General features: G+C 37.3%; 1 protein-coding gene across 30 annotated transcripts in view; it reads right to left on the bottom strand.

The window, feature by feature from the left end:
- Positions 1-23567, bottom strand: part of EYA4 (EYA transcriptional coactivator and phosphatase 4) — a 291536-nt gene that overhangs the window by 131476 nt on the left and 136493 nt on the right. For all 30 annotated transcript variants that reach the window (XR_001743219.3, XR_001743220.3, XR_007059221.1 and 27 more), the window contains one exon: positions 18212-18261. Coding sequence is in view for 27 of the 30 variants with exons in the window: in XM_017010368.3 (XP_016865857.1) it covers positions 18212-18261 (50 nt within the window). In the remaining 3 variants the exon portion in view is untranslated. The remainder of the gene's footprint in view (positions 1-18211; positions 18262-23567) is intronic.

Genomic DNA, 23567 nt, shown 5'->3' with positions numbered 1-23567 from the left:
GGATACCCTTCAATATGATGTTCAGGGCACAAACACTATGTCTATTTTCATGAATTTTGCTAAATGAATCCTATATTAGAACAGATTATTTATGCAAAGCGGCTTGCAATATAAGCATATAATTTTTTTTTTCTTTTTTTTTTTCAAGACAGAGTCTTGCTTTGTCACCCAAGCTAGAGTTCAGTGGTGCAATCTCAGCTCACTGCACCCTCCGCCTCCCGGGTTCAAGCAATTCTCTTGCCTCATCCTCCGGAGTAGCTGGGATTACAGGCGTGCGCCACCACACCCTACTAATTTTTGTATTTTCAGTAGAGACAGGGTTTCACCATGTTGGCCAGGCTGGTCTCGAACTCCTGACCTCTTGATCCGCCCACCTTGGCCTCCAGAAGTGCTGGGATTACAGGCATGAGCCACCACGCCCCACCGCATATAATTTTCTAACTCGCATCTGTATCAGTGTATACTTTTGTAATGGTGTTGTTTTGCACATAATATGTATTCAGTGTATTTCATTTTATCATGAAACTCTTGAATAGAAAATATATAAGTGCAAAAAGCTATAAATATGTATTAATGGATAAATATGCTGCTATTCTGATTTGCAAACTCAGAAACAAAAAAATCAAGTGATGTCAGAGAATAATGCAAGGAACCCTATAAATAGTATGAAATTTGAAAACCCTAGTTCACTTCTTTTCAGGTCTAACTACCTAATTGTTCCTTCTATGTTTTCCCAGTAATTATACAAAACCTCCTCTTTGTGTTTTCTCTTATTTAATTTTGTTTAAACTATGGGAGAACTTTATACACTGACATTAAACAATTACCTTCCCATCAAAATTATTTTAAGAAACCTACTCTGGAAATCATACAGGCACGTTGCCAATTTATCTTTGTAATGTGAAGGAGAAAAAATGCTGTTAACATTTTTTAAAGTCAGAAAACTACTCTTAAAGGCAGAAAAATAAAGTATTGTCATTTGATGGGAACTTTCGTTTCATATCACAGCATAGACTCCTGCCAGAATTCAATGCCATATAACTACTTACACTTTGATTTTCAGCAGATGTAGTCCAAGTTGACATTCTTCTGTGAATCATTAGAGAGTATTTTCACTGAAAACATATTCTTGATTTAAAACATAAGTAGCCTCATTGTATTTTTTTTTCTCAACAGCTTGTATCAACCTGTTTTTAACTCTCTAACTTTTTCCACCTTTCTACACCACACATCAACATCTTGATCTAGTGAACTAACCAGATAATGAATAATACTGTGTATCAGTTTCTCATAGTCATCCTCTACTTGAAAGGGAGAGAAAAATACATTGAAGTACTAGTTTAACAAAAGTAATTTCCTTCTGTTCACTTGTGCTTCATTAGGAATCATTTATATTTGCTCCAAATTAAATGGTTTACTATCAGAAAGAAGAAATTATAAAAATGAAAATGCTTGGCCTGACACTAAAAATTATGTATGTATAAATTATGCCTAGAAAATCCACTAGCTAAGCAGGCTGATTCCCTTTGCATGCTGACCTGAATTTAGCATGATCCAGTGTGGGCACCAGCAGAGGTGAGCTGGCGCTGGTCAAAATAAGAGAGGAAAAGTCCGCAGACATGGGAAGGCATATATTTAGCTAAAAGATGAATAAATAGGTAGTGACATTGTATCTTATACTTACTTAATTCACTTTTGTCCACATACTTTATGATTAATCTTTCAACAAATCCAACCCTCCTGCAACATGCACTGATGTATCCTGTTTCTCTTCTTTGTGCCTATTTCCCTGGTTTTATTTGGGGACAAGGTTTTACTAAATACGATTTGGCACTGCATGTTGGCAATTTTTTTTCAAAGAAGCCATATTAGGGTTTTCTTTAGGAAACTGCCATTCGCTTTCTACAGGATGGCCAACTTACCAAAGAAAAGGTCCACATTCTTAGCGAAATTCTGGGCTCTACTTAGAGTCTTCTCAAAGTTTTTAAGCAAGCCTTCCATAGCATGCATGCAAAAGAAACAATTTTAGTAGAAGTCCTTGAAATAAAAAACACATGTCACACTTAGAAGTTCTAACTCTTATTACTGACAATGTAAACAGCCAACTGGATAAAGGCAACATGAAAATATGAGGAAAAAAAATAGCAGCTGAAAAAAATCAGACTCTTTAAATAAGAAGAAATTGAAACCTGTCCTTATAGTCATTCAGTTAGCAAGAGTTCAACCAACTGATAACAGCTTCAATTTGGTTGTGAAAATTCAATTTAATGAAAGTCTATTGCATAAAATTCTTTCCCCCATAAGAAAAGGAGTAAGAATATTTAGAAAGTAAAAGACACCCAGAATATCTCAAATAAACTAGTCTCAATAACTCCCTCACCCCTAGCATACACATGGACTCAATTCACATGGTTTGCAAAACCAGTTTGGTCATTCCCAGGAATTGCAAACATGGAAAATAAGCTTTCTTTCACGATTCCTCTGTTTCTTGACTAGGCAACAAGGGCTGATATCTTGCACTGTCCTCCCCCCCTTTTCTTTTTTCCAGTTTTATCTCTTACATTTAGCACAAAACATTTAATGGCCACTCAGTTGCTTTAACTAAATGGATTCACAATGTATGGCCATAGGGGAAAAGACACACAAAACAATGCACTGTAAGAAACATGGTGATATGGTTTGTCTGTGTCCCCATCCAAATCTTATCTTGAATTCCCACATGTTGTGGGAAAGACCCAGTGGGAGGTAATTGAATCATGGGGGCAGGTCTTTCCCATGCTGTTCTTGTGATAGTGAATAAGTCTCACGAGATCTGATGGTTTTAAAAAGCACAAGCCCTCTTCTCTTGTCGGCCCCCATGTGACACATGCCTTTTGCCTTCCGCCATAATTGTGAGGCCTCCCCAGGCACGTGGAGCTGTAAGTCCATTAAACCTCTTTATTTTGTAAATTGCCCAGTCTTGAGTATGTCTTTATCAGCAGTGTGAAAACTAATACACATGGGGATATATCATATATGCAAATAAAAGGAATCAGTTCCAAATATTTTCCAAACCCTGTTTAGAGCACTGATAAACAATAAATCAAGAAGCAGTTATCAATATGTGAAAAGCCAACTATTCCCAATATTCCTCAAAGATCACTAATTCTAACTGCACAAAAAAATAACCTTTCCATGAAATAAAATTCAATTTTCTAAAAATCTGTATGCCCTAATATCAAGAATTTGCTAGATGGAATGCAGCTGATTGGAAATGGAATGGAAAGAGAAAAGATGCTGGAAATGTAGGCGTTTTGGAAACAATTTGAAGCCTCACACTGCTCTTCTTCCAGTGTCAGGAAAAGGCTTTGAATTCAGGATCTGGAGCTTATTGACTCTTTCTAAGCAGCACCTACAGTCAAATGATGTTACTGGGAAACCAACTGTGAGTTGCTTTTCTAAGGTATTGAGGGGTTGTGCTTTGCTGCCTATACTGTCATGTGGATGCCCTCATTGCAATGTTAAGTATCTGGGCAGCCATGCCATGGTTCATTGTCAGAAGCTATAGAAGAGAATGCTTTTTCCAGCCAAGTTGAGTGATTCATTCTGGGCCATTAAAAGTCTGCTTCACTAACATTTTCTAAGCCTTGCATTTTCCAGATCTTTTTAAGTCCATGAGATGTGAATTTTTAGGATACACAGTATCTTCCTCTGATGAAAATCATGCATCTCTTGGGTAGCCAGGAGAGTGTGAAAACACGGCAGGGAGTTTGGGGTTCTCACTGTGACTGGAACTGCTACTGAGATCTGGAAGAAGGCATGGTTGGATAGTTGTGTCATGTGCTGTCAGCCCTGCGCAGAAAGAATTAACCCTTCTAAATCCCCTTTGGAGAAATACCAATGGGTAATCCACACTTCCAGTCATGTTGCATGCATGCACATATACACACAGACACACACACAAACACACCCTCTCCTCATTTTTTCTCTATACCATGGTTTTCATCATTGTTTCTCTTTAAAACAAACACCTATAAATAATGAGAAAAACCTAGGATAATAACTACCCCAACAGCACACACATAACATAATGGTTAAGAATATGTAAATGTCAGTGTCTCAGCCACAGTAAACTATTTTGTCTCCCGTTCGATGTCACACATGATGCTCCTATGTAATGCCTTCAGTCTTTACTACAACAGCTGTTGCACCGAGCAGGGTGTGGCGCATCTGTCTTGGCATCCCACCAAACCACATTAATCATTTTTTCCCAGGCTCTAGCATGATCTCTAACATCCCCATTAGTTGGGACTTTAGCTCTTCTATTTGAAGAATAATAGAAAATAAGAGAATGAGGAATACAGAGGAGATAAATAGTATAGGATTACATCACTTCATGTAATAAGACTGTCTATGTTCTTGAAAAGATTACATTATTTCTGACAGGTATGGAATTTTGACAAATTAATCACATGACAGAATGCATTAGAAGAGCTTCCTATGGAAGCCAAGCCTAAAAAAATGGAACAATTATTTCCCAAGTCATCTTTCCTTTCAAAGAGCTTTTTCACATATTGTCTTGTATTAAAGATAAAAGTGCAATGCCCATGGTAAAAGTCATCCTAAGATAGGAAAGAAGGGGAAGGGAGAAAAGAAGGGGGAGACAGAAAAAGGGAAATTCTTGATTATTACATTTTTATTTCAAAAACCTTTGGTAAGGACGTGATGACTTTAATTAGAATAACCATTAAATTCATCATGCAAACAAGACTTTCTTGAAAGTAAACTCTCTATCCAAAAGGGATGCTGAGATACCAAGTGTAAACTGGGACTCTACATGGGGTAAGCTGGGATACAGAGTTACTCTACTTGTTAGAGCAAACTTAGAGGGTTTTTATTTTATTTTAATTTTTTAGACGAAGTCTTGCTCTGTCACCCAGGCTGGAGTGCAATGGCACAATCTTGGCTCACTGCAACCTCCACCTCTCGGGTTCAAGCGATTCTTCTGTCTCAGCCTGCTGAGTACCAGGGACTACAGGCACGCAACACCACGCCTGGCTAATTTTTTGTATTTTTAGTAGAGATGGGGTTTCACCATGTTGGCCAGGCTGGTCTCAAACTCCTGAATTCAAATAATCTGCCTGCCTTGGCCTCCCAAAGTGCTGGGATTACAGGCGGGAGCCACCACAGCCCAAACTTAGAGGTCTTCCTTAGATTTGATCTTATTTACAGATGACATTTAAACCTTCTTATATGGCATACGGTAGTGCGACTAGTGTAGGTAAAGACTTGAAGAACTTGCCACTTCTCTCCCCAAAATATAAAAACTAGCTCCTCATTCATTCATTCACCAATTCCTATTATAAATATTTATTGCACTCCTACTATGTGCCACACACTGTGCTAGGTACCTGACCTGGATTGGAGAAAAAAAAAAAAAAATCCCTAAGTGATCCAGATGCTTGAGTTGCTCATGTTAGCATGAAAAAGGAATAATTCTAGATAACCTCATCTATCCAGAACCTTCAAGGAATTTGGTCATTATGGTTTAGTCAAATATTGTGTGTTGCTGAGCTGTGGTTATTTTAAGCAATAGCATATTTTAAATGGGATCATTTTGTAAATAAATAATTCTAAAATATTTTAATGGGATCATTTTGTATATAAATAATTCTAAAATGTTATGATGTTAAATGTAATTTAACTTTTACTGAGAAAATCAGGGTGACCAACACTAGTGAGAATCATCACACAGTACTAAGGCATATCAATGTCCTCAGGGATTACTAAAGCATACTGGGCTTCCAGTGTTCATGCCAAAATATCTCATGTGACTAAGCATTTTGCATTCTTACATTTATGCTTCGCTATTTTTGTCTTTTTGTCATTAGACTGTCACTTGTCAATACTATCACTATGCCTACTTGTAATAAGAGCAGTCATTTAAATTCACATAATACAGTGGCAGGTACTTTGTTAAACATTTTCGATATATTCCTTCACTTAGAATTTAAAACTGTGCATTCAGTAAGACAAAACATTCTGAGACAACATCTCAGAGATACCTCTATGAAGCCTAGATTTGTCATAGGCTTTTTTTTTTCTCTCTGTAATTCTCAAATATGTCTGTATGGGTGAGGTTTGCTAGACAATTGAGTTTGCCATCAAGTCTGTGGAGCCTTGGAAATTAATTATAACTAAAGCAAAAGTATTTTTTAAATACAAGCTTATAAAGGTGCCGCTGTTGAACTAAAGATACCTGTATTATTTGGCTCTTACTACCCAAGCAAGACAAGTATTTGTTTGATATAACTTTTTCTAGAATTTTAAGAGTGGATTAAATCATTCGATGACCAAAAAAAAAAAAAAAAAAAAAAAAAAAAAAAAAACACAAGCTTATATATACATTTTTCCAACTATTCTTATGTTGGAGATTCTCTCATTGGAAATGTAAATATTTAGAAAAAGTAGAGCTTAATTTTAGCTACATGAATTTTAGGAATATAAAGACAGTTATTTGGCACAGTAAGCATGCCTGAAAGACTTCAAGTATCAGGTGATAGAAATTCATAAACACGTGAACAAAGAACCCATTCATCCATTGGCTTATTGAAAACCAAATGAGAATACTGTGTAGGTTGCTAAGACAACTGAAATGTGATGATTAAATGTAAGATAATAAGCAGAATCTCTGTACCTTTACAAATCAAAATTTTGGAATCTCTATTAAGCCCTCATCTATATTTAAGACTGAAACTTTAAGAACACTACTTTAGAAAAAGCCTTAAGACTTCGAGTTCCACTGGTGAAGAATCTTGAAGCCTTCTGATCAGGAGAGAGCCCTAGTCTTAGAAGATGTGTGTGGTGTGGCAGAGAGAGGTGTTCCTGGTTGGGGATCAGCCCCATCTTGTAGCAGTGACAAAAGAGGCAATTAGTCCAAGACATTTATTTGAAAATGGTTTATTGAAATTACAAGTAAATATTTCCAAAATGTGGAAAAGACTAGAAATAGTAGCTTTTTCTAGAATATTGCTATTTCAAATTTTGAACTCTGGGCTCACTCTATTCTAGCCACACTGTCCTTCCCTCTTCTGTCACCTGAACATGCCACGCAGGCTTTTACTGAAGGGAGTGTACTTCCACCAGCTCTCTGCTTGGCTCACTCATTCATTTCCTTCAAGTTTGCTAAAATATCACCCAATTTAAAACCACAACCATTCCCCTCCGCAATGTTCCTGATCCTCCCTATTTTATTTAATTGGTGGTTATGTATTACCTTCTAACATACTCCTTTACCATGTATGCTCTTGTTTTGTTTACTGACGTATCTCAAGCATTTGGTGCCTGACCCATAGTAGATGCTCAATAAATAGTACCTTTAAGGGGGAGAATAAGCATTTAATTGAACTACTGAGAGGAAAACCACTATATCCCCCTTTCTATTACCATCTAGAGTTGGCCAAGCATGAAGTGGACCACAAAAGCTTCTATGTTTCTACTCACACTGAGTCTAGAATTTCTGCACTACAGATGCTCTAAGTGCAAAATAAGGATTTAAGATGCTTAATAACCCCTAAGCAATCTTGGAGAATACTCAGAGATGGTTGTTGCCCTCAATCGACAACATTCTAATTACCCCTGTGATGCAAAGCAGAGTCTTGTCCTAGCTCCTTAGGTCTTCTGGATAGAAGTCACTGCACAAATGCTGCTTTACATGAGGAATTACTCTGACCAAATTAACTCAAGCAGCTAACAGTCTCCAGAACGAGTTTTGTACTGTTAACCACAAAGATTTCTGAGCTCAGTTTACTGTAGGAGAGGCTGACCAGGAACACAGCCATTTTCTGGAATTAATCACTAATACATGTGGCGAAGACAGGCATTTTCTCATCTCTAAAGAACAATGCAAGCTGTCAGAAAGAAGAGGCCAGATCCTTCCCCCTGCCACCATGCCTATTTCAAGCCAAATCTATTATTTCAGGCTTTATATGCATGTATTTGTTCTTAAATCAAAAGAAATAAGTATCCACTGTAGAAAATTTGGAAAATGTGTTTAAGCTATGAAAAAAATAGTGTGTAATGCCGCCCCAAAATAACCACAATTTGCTAAGTGTCTCTCCAGCCTTTTATGTAAGTTTCATAGCTGGTCTCCCTGCCTCCAAGCACCTGAGTCACGGTTGATCTGTCATCACCAGTACAATTTTAATTATATCATTACCTGATCAGAAATCCATTGGTGAGCTCTCAATACCTGTAAGAGAGCTTGCCAAGTTTTAAATCTGGGCTCTAGGTTATTGATTGCTGACTGTCTTTCTGCAGGTATGTTTGAACATTGTTTTTTTTTTTAAAGAGCTAAAACCTAGACACTAATCTTGGCAAAATTGAGGGCATTAGTCAGACAATTATCTAACAACTACACACAGGAAATGGAGAAAGCAATTTGCATTTGAATTGGTATTTGAGAGCCGAAGAGAAGACTGGGTCCCTTGAATAGGAACTGGTCAGCTTGGGGATGGGTATAGGGAGGCCAAAAATTGGTACAAGAGTTTACATAAAGAGGGGAACTGAGTTCCTCTTACTTTGCAGTTTCGCTGCCACTCCACTTAAAGGTCTGTCTCCAGCAATCTCTACTTTCAGATCACGGTTTGTAGATGCCTGACCTATGAAATCAAGCTCTAAGTCTCTATAGTAGTAAAATGAATAGCCATTGAGTTGTCTCTAATTAGGAAAGGGGGGAGTGCATTTTCAATTTCCTTGATATATGCTAGTTTATATAGGCTGGATTATAAAGTGAAGGATGAGGGAGGGGTAGGTGCTGGATAAAACTGGCAGGTTAAAAATGTCCTGGGAAGGGAAGGAGTAGAAAGTAGAGGGCACTTGTGGGTTATCTACCCTCAACCTTTGCTTGAAAGCTCCTCACAACCCAATTCATAGGCTCCCAGAGGTGGCTCCTGAAAGCCACATTTCTGTTTTGTGACCCTGACTCTCTGAAAACATTCCCGTCCCTAGAAATCTGGAACTGAGATAATGAAAAAGAGAGGAATCTATTATCTAGGTGGCTAAAGAAGTCAAATGTATAAAATCAGGAGCAGTGTCACATGGGCATTTTCCTCTTGTTGTGTGGCCTGGAGAAAAACAAAGCTGGTCAGCCAGAGAGATAAAGACACAGAACGGTGAAGCAAAGGGGACAGAGATGAATAAGAGATGAACAGGGAGATAATCTGTGTCTCCCATACCTTCTGAAATTCAGCAAGCCCTCTTTTCCCGAGTTAAGAAATTAATCCTTTGCTTAGGTGCATGCCTGTAATCCCAGCTACTCAGGAGGCTGAAGCAGGAGAATCGCTTGAACCTGGGAGGTGGAGGTTGTGGTGAGCCAAGATCATGCCATTGCACTCCAGCCCTCCAGCCTGGGCAACAAGAGCGAAACTCCATCTCAAAAAAAAAAAAAAAACAAAAACAAAACCCAAAAAATAATAGATACTAAAACTTCCTTTTTCTGCTTCAACTGGCTGACAACAGTAGCTGCAACCAATAAGAGTCCTAACTAAAACAACTAGCAAGCTAAACCAGCCACAAGCTGTGCTAACCTACCCTAACTTTCTAATCTCATCTACTATTTCTTCACATGGATCAAGTGGGACTATCCAAAAACCATACCTTTCAATTTCAGCTCCTGGGTTTTTTGGTTTGTTTGTTTGTTTGTTTGTACCTCACTGTGAGTTCTCTTTCCTTCATTTCTTCAAAATTTATCTATTCTTTGACATTCAGCTATAGCCCCCCAATCTTCTATGAAGCCCTTCCTAACCACACTAACCCCCAGTGCTCAAACTGCACTCTGGTGCTCTTATTCTCCTCTATCCCTCTAATGAAATGATTTCATCTGTAGAACTTACCAGATAAGTATTACCTAAAAATAGATGCCCTTGGGTGGCCACAGAGTTCACACATACATGATTTTACTCTATGATACATGTAGGAAATGGAGACAGCAGGGGAGATGGAAAACATTACCTATGTAACTGGTATATATTTTTTCCTAGAATGTTTTGGGACTAATGTTAGAGCCATGCACTGCTATGTCAGTTTGGAACGATAGGTAGAATACAAAATGAGACTCAAGCAACATTTAACAGAGTAAAATAAGGGAAATAGGGCCAGGTGCAGTGGCTCACGCCTGTAATCCCAGCACTTTAGGAGGCCAAGGCGGGCAGATGACTTGAGGTCAGGAGTTTGAGACCAGCCTGGCCAGGATGACAAAACCCCACCTCAACTAAAGATACAAAAAGTAGGCGGGTGTGGTGGCGGGGGCGCCTGTAGTCCCAGCTACTCAAGAGGCTGAGGCAGGAGAATCGCTCAAACCTAGGAGGTGGAGGATACAGTGAGCCGAGATTCTGCCACCGCACTCCAGTCTGGGTGACACAGCGAAAGTCTGTCTCAAAAAATAAAAATAAAAATAAGAGAACTAGGAGAGTGGACAACAGGTAGCCCAGAAAACCCCTGACCTTTTGTGGGCAGTAATTAGGCACAAAAAGTATATTTTCACATTTTTACTTCCTGCACATATAAACTTTTAAGGTTATTTGCTCATGCTTCTGTATATACTCTGTCTACTGAATACTGCCTGATCAATTGACCAACACGGCAACACCATATGGAAAGTGTCATTAAGAAAGGCTCTCTGACAGTCTTGGCAGAACAGAAAGGCAGGGTCTAGACCCTGTAAGCCATGTGAAGACCTACTGCATTCATTCAGAGGTGAGGTGGCAAGATTCTGAACTTTCATAGTGGCAGTGAGGTGAGGCAGGATAAAGAGATTCAAAAAGCACGGCAGAGGAAAATTCAAAAAACATGGTTTCATAGAAAATTGGGGGGGCTATAGCTGAATGTCAACTTGATGACCAGCAGGATTAGGAAAGGGAGCAAGAAGTCAAAGATTGCTTAAAAGTTCTGAGACAGGACAACTGAGAGAATTATTTATCACTAGAAAGGAAAGACCCTGGGGAAAGAAGTGTAATTACAATTTTTCACAAGTGGAGCTGAGATGGCAGAGAGAAATCCCTAACTAAATTACACTAGGGATTTGTGGTTAAAAGAGATATTCCAGGAGCAATTGCAAGCCAGATTTGTGTATTTGGAAGTTATTCATTCATTTAACAGATATGTACTGGGGACCTGCTATGTGCTAGGCCCTGTGCTGTATACTAATGAGGCAATGGTGAACAAAGGCAGATATGAACTCTAACCTTGTAGAGCTTATAGTCTGGTGAACTGAGGAGGCATCTACCACATGCAGAATCTCTGAAGGAGAAGAACATGGTACCCTGTGGCCTTATGACAGTGGGGCTGGACTAGTTGGCTGGATAGGGAAGGCTTCCTTAAAGCACTGAGCTTCTTCAGGAGTTTGGCAGCCACTCCACTTAAAGGTCTGTCCCTAGCAATCTCTCCTTTCATATCACAGTTTGTAGATGCCTGACCTATGAAATCAAGCTCTAAGTCTCTATACTAGTGAAATGAATAACCATTAAGTTGTCTCTAATTAGAGAAGGGGAGAGTGCTGCAACGGGCGCAAAACATCTGGAAGATGATTTGAAATGATGTAGGTAAGCAAAGGTGGGAGGGGAAAGGAGAAACTGAAAGGGAAGGAGAGTCCCAGCCTCTGTGGAGAGAGGCAAGTAGCAGTGGTGAATGCAGACCTCCTAACAAGCAGCAGCTCATGCACACCGAGCAGAAGCAGAAGGACGTGGGCGGAGCATGCTAGGCACTGTGGGCCACATCAAGAGTTGTAAACAGAGATTATACATGAAAAAGTATGAAATGAAAGAAAAGCAAAAGCATCAAGAATAAAACCTAGGGAGCTGAAGACAGTGAGGCAAAGGTTAAATAAACACGGTATGAATGAAGAAATGCCACTGTGAGGCCCTTCCTCCTTTTGGTTGTAGCCTATTCCTTTTCCTTAATGGGTTTTAGGATGAGTCTTCTTCAATTTAAACACATAATAAGCAACTATTCTCTGAGTAACAATGAGAAGGGACATGTACTATATTATTCTCATTTGCCCATTCATTTAATCTTAGAAAATGATGAACTCTACAGGGGAAGTGCAGAAAGAAATCAAAAAGTGTACAAAAATAACACTCAGCTACACTGGCCAATAAAGATAAGTTACCAGGAGTTCCCAATGAGCTACTGGAAGGGTCGATTGGGCACATATGTGATAAGACATTTAGGAAACAATAGTCTATGTTTTGAGACTTTTTTTTTTTTTTTGAGACCGAGTCTCACTCTGTTGCCCAGGCTGGAGTGCAGTGGCATGATTACGGCTCACTGCAACCTCCGCCCCCCAGGTTCAAGCGATTCTCGTGCCTCAGCCTCCCAAGTAGCTGGGATTACAGGTGCCCACCACTATGCCCTACTAATTTTTGTATTTTTAGTAGAGACGGGGTCTCACCATGTTGGCCAGGCTGGTCTCGAACTCCCAACCTCAGATGATCCACCCGCCTCAGCCTCCCAAAGTGCTGGGTTTATAGGGTGAGCCACTGTGCCCGGCCGAGACTGTTTTTTAAAGCTGCAATTATCACTGAAATAAGTGATTTGGCAAACACCACAGACAATTATCTGAGGAAATCAGCACAGATGCCACCATGAACAAAGGATCAAGATAGGTCAGCTATCAAAGACACAATTAACAGCAAAACAGAGGACATCATTCACCCTCATTCACAGCCCCATCTGCATCCATATCTGCAGGAATCTGTCAGCACACCCCAGAAAAGGTAAAACAAATTCTGAAAATCTCCAGTAAATGCCAGCCAAAAATGATGAAAAGACTAGAGAAGCATCCACATGAGGCCAGACTTTGAAACAAGACAAAACACTTTCCAAATTGGGAAGAAAAAGATTAAGCTATAATATGACTCAGGTTAAATAAATGACATGAGAATTAAATCACACTCTTAGAATATTTAACTATTAGAATATCTATCATTTTCAGGGGAAGTATGCCTTATAATTTGAAAGAGGTGTTTTTTAATAATTAAAGGAATTAATTATTACTTTGCATTGTGATTAGTAATTTCCTGGGTTCATTAGTCAAAAAGATAATATATGATAATATAATTAAGTCCAAGAAATGGTTACCCAATTCTGTGGTCTGTACAACCAGATCATGTTATTGAGAGAATTTAAGGTATTTAGAACTATATTCCAACCTTCCAGGTTTGAGAAAAACATAAACTGGCAGTAATGATTTTTGGTACTTCTTGGAGACAGAATATTGGGCTAGATGGACCTCTGATTTGACACAGTGAAATGCTATGCATGTTTCACAAAGGAGCCCTCAGCTTTCCCTGCTTTGAAAACAATACAGCATTTAATTTTGAGACAGGCAATTATATGCAGATAAACATTTCAGTCTTCCGGAAGTACTGCAATAATTATTTTACTAGCAAATAACTATGTATAATTTAATACATTAAACATTATTAAATCACAACTGTCTACATAATAGGAGTTAGGAATTTCATTTTTTTAAGCTGTTGCATGTAGACATTGAATAGATAAACTCCCTGAGGCTCACTTAAATATTACATATTAAACTGAAACTAATTCCAATGCTTCTTTAAAAAACGGAAAGTCATTTTGCCTTTCTCTTAATAATTGGAAAGTTAGTAAAGACTAGGGCAAGAAGACACAGGCCAAGGCCTTTACTAATTTCAGGTAATCATTAAGTTCTCAGCAAACTCAATTTCTTTAACTTACGAAGTGGAGAAGAGTCAATCCTCCCCACTATCCACAGAATCTTTTGTTATTCTCCATGTGGAAAAACTATCATCTTAGCTCATACATACCACAAGTTCTTCCTATATTTTAAGATTCTCCTTAGATCTCCTTACTATATTCTACTGGTGACACTGTGGCCAGGATGAAACAAAGCTACTAAAGGACAAGAGCTGGCTTAACTCCTGATAAGTCACTTCACAGCCCAATTTCACCACAATTTCTATTTCTATTCACTCTCTAGTTAACAAAACGAGTATAAAATAAAAATTTCCTATTTTGAGTTTTATTTCCTTCCTATGTCTTTGATCTCTTCTTGGTGAAAATGCTAGTCAGTGGCCCAAGAGAGGAAAAGCAAAGAGAAACAGAAATAGAAATTCAACAGAGAAATCATTTGTGTGTTATAGGGACTACTTTAACACAGAGACACCCTAAGATATTTGTAAAGTATGCAATACAAGAATGAAATAAATTATTTCCTCACCTCATTATCAGAAATAAAAAGGACTGAAAGTAGAGGAGTTAAAAAAATAAGATTCATGGAAACTTCTGCTGTAAAATTCATTTGTCCAGGAGCTATTTATTACATTAAACAAGAACCATGTATTTTCGGTGATGAGTCAAATGGGACCCAAATTGACACAAATAAATTCACCATGAAGACAGAAAAAAACATCAATGCAAAATATCATTTCAGTTTATGTTTTAAGATGGTCTATCTAGTAACAAACTTAATTTTAGGGTAAGGATATTAATTTTGTTTTTCTCATAAATTCATTTTATGGTTAACATTAGTTTAGGAACAATAGTACATCCTGGACATGGTTAGCAACACAGAGGAAAGCAAAAAAAGAAAAACATTTAAGGAATGTCAAATTTTACACAAAGCACATCACATCCCTTTCCACATGACATCAAGTTTAGTAGCTTTAGGAAACAGGGAAAAAATACTATTCCTGACATCTGGCTTATACTATATACATGTAATGCTATTTCAAAGAAGATAGTTTGGTGCCGTACTTATACTGCATGGGTTTGTAAATTCTTTTTCCCAATATACCATTACATCTGCAGCCCAAGCATTTCTTCCCAAAAGAATTAAGGCCAAGCAAGAAAAAGAATTTGCTGATACACATATGTCACTTCAAGAATTCTCTTGTCAAAGTCTCCACACCCAATTTAATTATTTCCCTACTGTAAAAACACTTTCCATCTGCATTTATTCTAATCATTTCAAATCCAAAACCAACATACTATAAAGCTAACTAAATAAATGAATGATATTAGCTTTAGGTTCCAAGTGAGGCAGCATTTTTTAGGCAGTAGTTCTCTGGCTCACATTTTATGCGGATACAGTATTTCACTTTGAGTTCAATTCTTTATTTGATATTTGTTTAGAATAAAACTACCTAGCCCCGGGCTTTAAATCTCAATCTGAATCTCTCTCTCTCTCTCTCACACACACACACACACACACACACACACACACACACACACACACACACAGAGAGAGCATACATACACACACAGAGGAGAGAGAAAAAATATATATATATGTATAAAATATATATATTTTGTGGGTTTTTTTTTTTTTTTTTTGAGACAGAGTCTTGCTTTGTCACCCAGGCTGGAGTGCAGTGGCACAATCTCGGCTCACTGCAAGCTCCGCCTTCCAGGTTCACGCCATTCTCCTGCCTCAGCCTCCCAAGTAGCTGGGACTACAGGCGCCTGCCACCACGCCTGGCTAATTTTTTGTTTTTTTAGTAGAGACGGGGTTTCACTGTGTTAGCCAGGATGGTCTCGATCTCCTGACCTCATCATCTGCCCGCCTCGGCCTCCCAAAGTGCTGGGATTACAGGCGTGAGCCACTGCGTCAGCCCCTGTGGTTCTTAATGAGCAAAAAAGAATGTACCCATATATGTATGTATTAAAATAATGCTGCTTAGTGTCTATATTAGAGACATTTTTCTTGTTTGGTTGTCATTTTTTTTGTTTTTTGACAGGTTAGAAAAACTGAACCTCAGTACATGCATATAATTTGTTCACTATTCAGTAAATTCTTGTATCCTTTTTGTGTCGAGTGCTCTTCGGTATATTTTTATTCTCTCCTTGGTGTTCCATCAATACATTAAGTGCCAGTTCTGGCACTCTCAGGCCTAATATTGGGGAATAAATACAGGATCCAAGAACAGTCACATTTTTATGTTATTGATAGATATTGACCAGAGTGTGGAGATTGACCATTGTACCACAGGTCAGGAGAGGAGACCTGTCATTATCAAAACGTCTGGGCAAACTTGAACCAACAAATGACTCTAGGTCTTCTTGAAGGTCTTTCCATCTCACATTTTAAGAAAAATTATTGTATTTGTTTGCTTGTTTTTGATATCACAAAGTTATGAAGTTCTTAGAAATTGATTTGCCTGATTTTACCCATTTACATTACAGATTAGGAAACTTTAAGCAGCAGCTAATCCACAGCAACTAACTGCTGATTTCCAGGAACTCTGGCTACTTTTCCATTTAGAGAGACAGTTATTATTAAATGACAAATATATTTTAAGCAGTCTTCAAAAAAACTATTTTTTTCTTAAAAATAAAATTATATTTTTAAGGCCACATGGGCTGGGATTTTCTAGATAAAAAAGAATGACCTAATTCCAGGTTTAAATACACTGAGCTCTGAACTCTTTCTATTTCTTCTCCAACTTACTGATACCAACTATGAACAATGAATCAGTTTGATCGCTTTCTGTTAGTTTAAAATTTACTTAAGCATAGTATTATCTGCCCAAAAATCCTGAGTAGCCTCAAAGCTAAAAAATTTTGATATGAAATATTAATAATAAGGATGATTATATTGTTCTGTTTTTCCTAACTCCCAAGACCAGCTGCTTGCAAAAATTATCTAATTACATATATCATCCTTAAAAAGCAAGTTATAGGTAGGTCACTTATATAGGTCTGCAAATACTTAGGAAGGAGGTGCCTCCAAGGAATAGAGCCCCAGTCTTCCCTTCTGTTCGCACATCCTAGAACTACTCTGCTTTGTAGGAAAACATTTAGTGGTTCATCCATTTCCTAATGCTCCAATAATCTAAAATTAGTTAGTTCCATTTTGATAGCTAATTACACAGAACAAAGATCAAAGATCAAAAATCTGATATCATATCATATGCTCTTCATGATCCAAAGGGAAAATCCATATGCAATCATTTTAATATAATATGCACAGGAATCAATTATAGGAATATCATACTGCATACAACAAAACAAGAGTTACTCAAACTATAAGTGGACTATACATAAGATACACTTACTCTACAAAAAGAAAAACATAATGGCCATTACATTTTTTTTTTTTTTTTTTTTTTTTTTTTGAGATGGAGTCTCGCTCTGTCGCCCAGGCTGGAGTGCAATGGCACAATCTCGGCTCACTGCAACCTCCGCCTCCCAGGTTCAAGTGATTCTTCCACCTCACCCTCCCGAGTAACTGGGATTACAGGCACCCACCATCCATCATGCCTGGCTAATTTTTGTATTTTTGTAGAGATGGGGTTTCACCATATTGGCCAGGCTGGTCTTGAACTCCTGACCTCAGGTGATCCACCCACCTTGGCCTTGGCCATTAACATTTTACCTAGATATGCAATGTTTTCATGTACCAAGAAAATCACTACATGCACTATATGCGGGAGCAAGTAGGACAAAATAAAACGAGACCCATCTCTCAACTGAATACACATAGGTTAAGTCATATCACTCATAGCATAGTAAGAACATGTGTTTATTATTGTCATAGTATTTACGATACTTTTACTTATCCATTCAAAATTGCAGCCTGGACTTTGAAATGAAAGCAATGAAAATGTGTAGGTCTAAAAAAATCTGTTGGGCATCTGGTTCAACCACAAACAACTAAATGGTGCTAAATTCCTATATGAAGTGGCCTCACCACTTTAATTCATCATTTCCACAGGCTCCAAACAACCCAAACGAGAATGCCAAATTAACTATGAGTTTCCTAATTTGACAACATTCTCAAAATCTAGCAATGTTTCACTGCAAAGAAAAAGAAATATCATAGTTTTTTTTTTTTTTTTGTAAACACAGATTTGACAGTTATTCAGTATCTGGCACAATTTTAGATTCAAAACATTATAAAAAGAAATTAGAACAAAAAAATGAACATTAACTTAATGCCAAGGGATTTTTTTTCACGTATTTCTAGAGATACTTCCACTATTGTTCCTTAAAACTGACTTCAATCACAGTCCCTTTGACTAATATTATGAGTAGTGGTACGCTAGCCAGCATGATATACAGTTTCCATCAAGATAAGTTCTTCAAGAAGCTCAATGTTTCAAATCACAATTGTGTCTCAGGTATAACATCTTACTAGTGCTCCGAAACTGCAATTCTCCTTAGGGGAGTCTTGGTCTTTATTTTACTGTACCTGGAATTCTGAGATTGTGAAACATCTGATTCTGTGCACGTTTTCTTTACCTGTAAGAAAAGAGTACTAGTTATTCTCATATGAAAATACAACTTCCTCACTCAGGTTCACACACTATTAAAGCGGATATAGCTCTGTTCACCAAGTTCTCTATAAAATACCCCCCACACTTTACAGCAGCAGCATACAGTACTAAATAGTGTATTTCATTATTATCCCATGAACAGCTGCCAAATACACTTCCCTGGACTCCATTAGTATGTAAAATGTTCAGCTGAAATAACTGGGGATAAGCCTAACCAGGAACAAAGAAACCAAAGAACCAGGTTTCCCACTTAGGAACTAGAAAGCATACTGTTCTCAATCCACTAAGAAATGTTTTTCCAACTGATACTGCTTCTGTCTCCTACTAAAAGCACATAATAATAAACACCAGGTTTTGATGCAAAGCACAGCATTAACTAAAATGTTCATACACTAATTTTCATTTTCTCAGTCTAGTGGCTGTATGTTTTATATATGTCTCAACATATCAATTAAGTTTAGCACTGCTTCACACATATATTTTCAGTATATCTTGCAGACTATATTTCAACTTTGTGGTTTTTAACCCACAGAGGTAAAGGATGAGAATAACTCATACTTCTAGGCCATGCTATCTATTTCTGGACAAAAGTATGTGGTACATCCTCTAAAGATGGTGAAATCCATAGATTTTCACAATTGCACTTCAAGCACTTATATCTATATCTGATTATTATGGTCTTAAAAGTATATGCAGAGTAGACTAAACTTCAAAAATCTCTTGGTTAATATGAAAAATGTACAATATACATTTATAAGCCCACTATTTCTGGGTGTTCATATTTCAATAACTTAACTATGCAACCTATGGAATCCAAGGAGTTTTACTTCCAATATGTGGTTTGGAAGCAAAAAAAAATTCTACTGAATATATACCATGAGGAACATGTGTGCAATGTGAATTGCAATATGAACAGTACCACTTAAAAGTAAGTCTTAAGCTTTGAAGATACAGCATTGTCTTTCCAACTCACAAAGTAATTTTTTCCTCCTCTGTTTCAGAAAAATCCTTAACAAACAAACTCACAAAAACCCTACATTTTCAAAAATCCCGTCTTTTGCTTTTAATACAAAGTCTAGACATTTTTATAATCTGGGAAATCAATTATTTTCTTGATTAACTCTGTAGTCTCTTTTGCATCTTGTGTATACACTTACACAATATGAAAATAAAACTGACCAGCAAAGAGACTGTCATCCTGTTTTATTATGTAATGTCTTCTATGCCTTTAACATGGTAATCAGTACCATGAGATGGAGGGGCAAAAAAAAAAAAAAAAAAGAAAAAAAAAACGGTTTCACAGAGAGAAGAGAAGAAAAAGGAGGAGGAGGTAGAGAAGGAGGAGGGGATGAGGAAAAGAAGAGGAAGAAAAGGAAAAAGAGAAAGAAGAGGAGGAGGAGGAGAGGGAGAAGAGGAAGAAAGGAGGAGGAAAAAGGAAGGAAGGAAGTAACGGGAGGGGAGGGGAGGGAAGAAGAAGAAGAGGAGGAGGAGGAGGAAGAGGAACAAGGAGGAGGAGGAAGAGGAATAAGGCGTAGGAGGAGAAAAGGGGAAAGGGTGGGGAGGGAGAAATACTTTTTTAAAAATGTAAACATAAAATTAACTCCAAATCCCACAAGTCTTATGTCCATTAAATTTGTATGAGGAAAACAAGAATTAAAAGGAAAGCATATCTGAAAAAAAAAGAACCTTCTTTCCTACTGGTTCTTGCCTATGATTTATCACCAAAAAACTATATGAACTGCCCAATGAATACACAGAAATTATCCCCAGGTGAATGTCACTTTCCTCAAGACCATGATGACTGGACCTTGGGACTGGCTGAGGAAGCTCCAGACCACCACAAACTAGACATATGCTCGCAACTGAAAGTCAGAGACAGACAAGCTTCCTATCATTTAACTTTTTTTAGTCTTTAACACCCACGGCTTTCCAAAGCATAATTACCCCAAAGAACTTACTAGAAAGTTCTGCTTGTTTTAATTTATTCTCAAAGTAGTAACAGTAAAGGCAGAGAACACATCTACAGGGTTTTGCTATTTAGTACCCACAGAGTCCCACACTTATAACCAATGCTTAACAGGCATGTGATGAAAGAATGAATTAGAAATTCCTTTAGATATTAAAATAACCATTTAGCAGAGTGGTTATTTTTAGAGGTTTCATTCATTTGTTCTTGGTCAAATGAGAGAAGAATAATATTTAGGATACCATGACTACTCTAGGGGAAGTCTATCTAAAGTATTGTGAGTGTTCATAGAACAAATTAACTTAGCCAAAGGAAGATGGAGAAGGCAATGAAGAAAGTAAGTTCTGAATTGAGTCTTCAGAGACTGTATGTGGGAAATAGTAGGTATTTCAGTGTCAAGAAGTTTGCCAGAGGAAGCATATTATGAAGCCCTTATATACGGTAAAGAATTTGGAATTTAACCTTTGGTCAGTGAAGACCATTGAAAGGTTGTAAAAAAACAAACTGGGTAGAGATGCTATAGAAGGTAATGTGGAAGGGGGATGAGGTGAGGGCTGAAAGTTGGGAAAAGCCTAATGCAACAAAACGGATAGTAGAAGTTCCATGAAGGCAGAGATGGCATTGATCTGGTACATCATTATATCCCCAGCCCTGAGTAGGTGTTCCCCAAATGCTACTTTGAACCATTCAATCTGTCAGTGAGAGGTGGTGAAGACTCAAGACAGGAGCCATGGGGTGAACTGAGAGGGTGTTTTTGACAAACACTTCTGAGATAGAATTGACAGAATATTGTAATTGATTGAAGTGTTAACTAGAATATTATCAGATCTTTTTATCTGTATTTGAAAAGAAAGATTAGATATACCGAAGACAAAAAAGGTTATTTTATGACATCTTCAAATTACTTCAAAACCCTATCTTATTTCTGAATTAAGGTAGAGGAGTTAAAGGAATCATCAAGAAAAATATTTCTAGGGTTTTGATCAAAGAAGTAGAGGCAAATGGATAGTTTTACCTAATTTGAACACACTCTTCCATTTGAGACTTCATTAAATGGCAAGTGCTGACCCATATATGCTATATAAGAAAGAATATTCTTATAAAACATATAGAACCTTCAATGACTATCATTTAGGCAGGAGTGCAGTGGCTATTCATAGGTGCAATCATGGTGCACTACAGTCTCAAACTCCCTAGTGTAAGCCATCCTCCTGTCTCAGCCTTCCACGTAACTGGGTCTACAGGTATGCACCATCACCCCAGGCTTACTTCTGAATGTGTTTTGAATGAAGTGGAAAACAAGCAGGTCAAGAAATGAGTCAGAATTTCATGCCAAAAAGTTAAATTCAAATCCTAGTTTTCACAAGACACACAAGGGGGTGGGCCAATAAATAAAAAAATAAATGTTGAAAATTTTTCCATAGAAATACACACACACACACACACACACACACACACACACACCAAGACAGAAAGGATGAATAGCGTAAATGAATGCAACTTGCTGCAAATAAAGTGAACTTTAACCTATGCAATATCTCTTCAGAGAAATTATAAAAATACAGGAAAATTCCAAGCACCATGAAAAAGAGTTAAATATTTAACTATTTTAAGAAAAGCAACTATTAGTATTCAATGAAAACATAAATATCAAAATTCTAAATTTTTGAGATGAAGGAATGGGTGAATAACAGCTAAAATTTTTGAGTGTTTTCCACATGCCAGGCACAGTGCTTAGATATATACAATTTTCTTCCCAGTTCCCATATAGTAACACTGAGAAGCAGAAACAACCTGAAAGCAAGTTATGTAGCAAATTTCAACTCCAGATCTATGAAGGCATTTTAACCAGAACCTATGAAGAACCTAAAATTCATAAACATATGAATTAAAAATGTTCAAAATGAAGATCAAAACGTCTTAATATTTAAAATTTGACTTCAATTACATAACAATAATAATTACTGCCATTTATTAAGCAAATATTCTTTTCCACTCACTCTGCTAGACTATGTATATATATAATCTCATTTAATGCATGTAGACAGGTATGATTAATAAAATCCTCCTCTTATGAACTAGAAAACTAATGTGCAAAGAGGTTCAACAACTTGCCTAATATCCCACAGCTAACACTAGCAAGGCTGGAATTACAACTTAAGGCCACACATCAAGCCTTTCATTCTCTCCTATGCTACATTTGCCAGTTGTGTTCATTAGTTTACTTTCCTTTCTTTTTAAAATCTCACTTTATTGAGGTATGATTGATATACAAAAAGGTACACCTATTTAATGTATACAACTTGATGAGTTTGAGATAAGAATGCACCTGTGAAACTACCACTGTAATCTATGCTGTGAACATATCCATCACTTCCAAAAATTTCCTCCCAAATTGTGTGTGTGTGTGTGTGTGAACATAATATAAATCTACTCTCTTAGTGAATTTTAAAGTATACAATATTAGTGCCTATATTGTTGCTATAGGCACTGTTCTGTACAGTGGATTTCTGGGAACGACCCACCTTGCATAAGTAAAACTTTGTACCCTTGACTAATATCTCCCATTTAAAACTAAGAGTGGAAATTAAAGTTCTGTGGAACAATTTTCAAAGAAGAACCTACTAGTTACTTTTATAATACATCAGTCATTAAAGGAATCCTTTAAACTAGACTACTGAAGTAACCAGTTTTTACCAAGCACTAGTAACATTTAAACTCCATGTAAGCAAAATAAATAGTAGTTTTGAAAAAATTATCCAGATATCTCTAGCATCCACCTCCGCCACCACCCCAAAAACAGCCAAAAAAAAAAAAAAAAAAAAACTAATGTGAAAAACAACTTCTGCGTTGTTTCTTTTTCTGTCCAAAATATCAAGATTTGCTCATTCAGCAAGGCTTTACTGAATGCCTGAGATATCCGAGGCAGTGTTCCAGCCACAGAGATGAACTAGACGTAAGCAGTTTGACACAGGAGCCACTAACCACACGTGGCTATTTAGAGCTTGAAATGTGGCTGAATTGAACGGAGATGTGCTGTTAGTGTAAAAAGCACACCAGATTTCAAAGTCTTACTATGAAAAAGAGGAAGTAGAATATCTTAGTATTTTTGATATTGAGAGTAAAATGATATTTTGGGTATACTGTGTTAAATAAAATAATTTCTCCTGTTGATTCTTACTTTTCAAGTGTGACTACTAGAAAATTTAAAATACGCATAGGATTTGTATCATTTTTCTACTGAACAGCACTCACCTAGACCAACAAACACCTGTCTGCCCAACAAACACCTCCTCCTCTAGTGG

Source organism: Homo sapiens, chromosome 6, assembly GCF_000001405.40.
Source record: "Homo sapiens chromosome 6, GRCh38.p14 Primary Assembly".
Classification (NCBI taxonomy): Eukaryota; Metazoa; Chordata; class Mammalia; order Primates; family Hominidae; genus Homo; species Homo sapiens.
The sequence above is the reverse complement of the archived record's forward strand: the minus strand, read 5'-3'. Positions and strand labels throughout refer to the sequence as shown.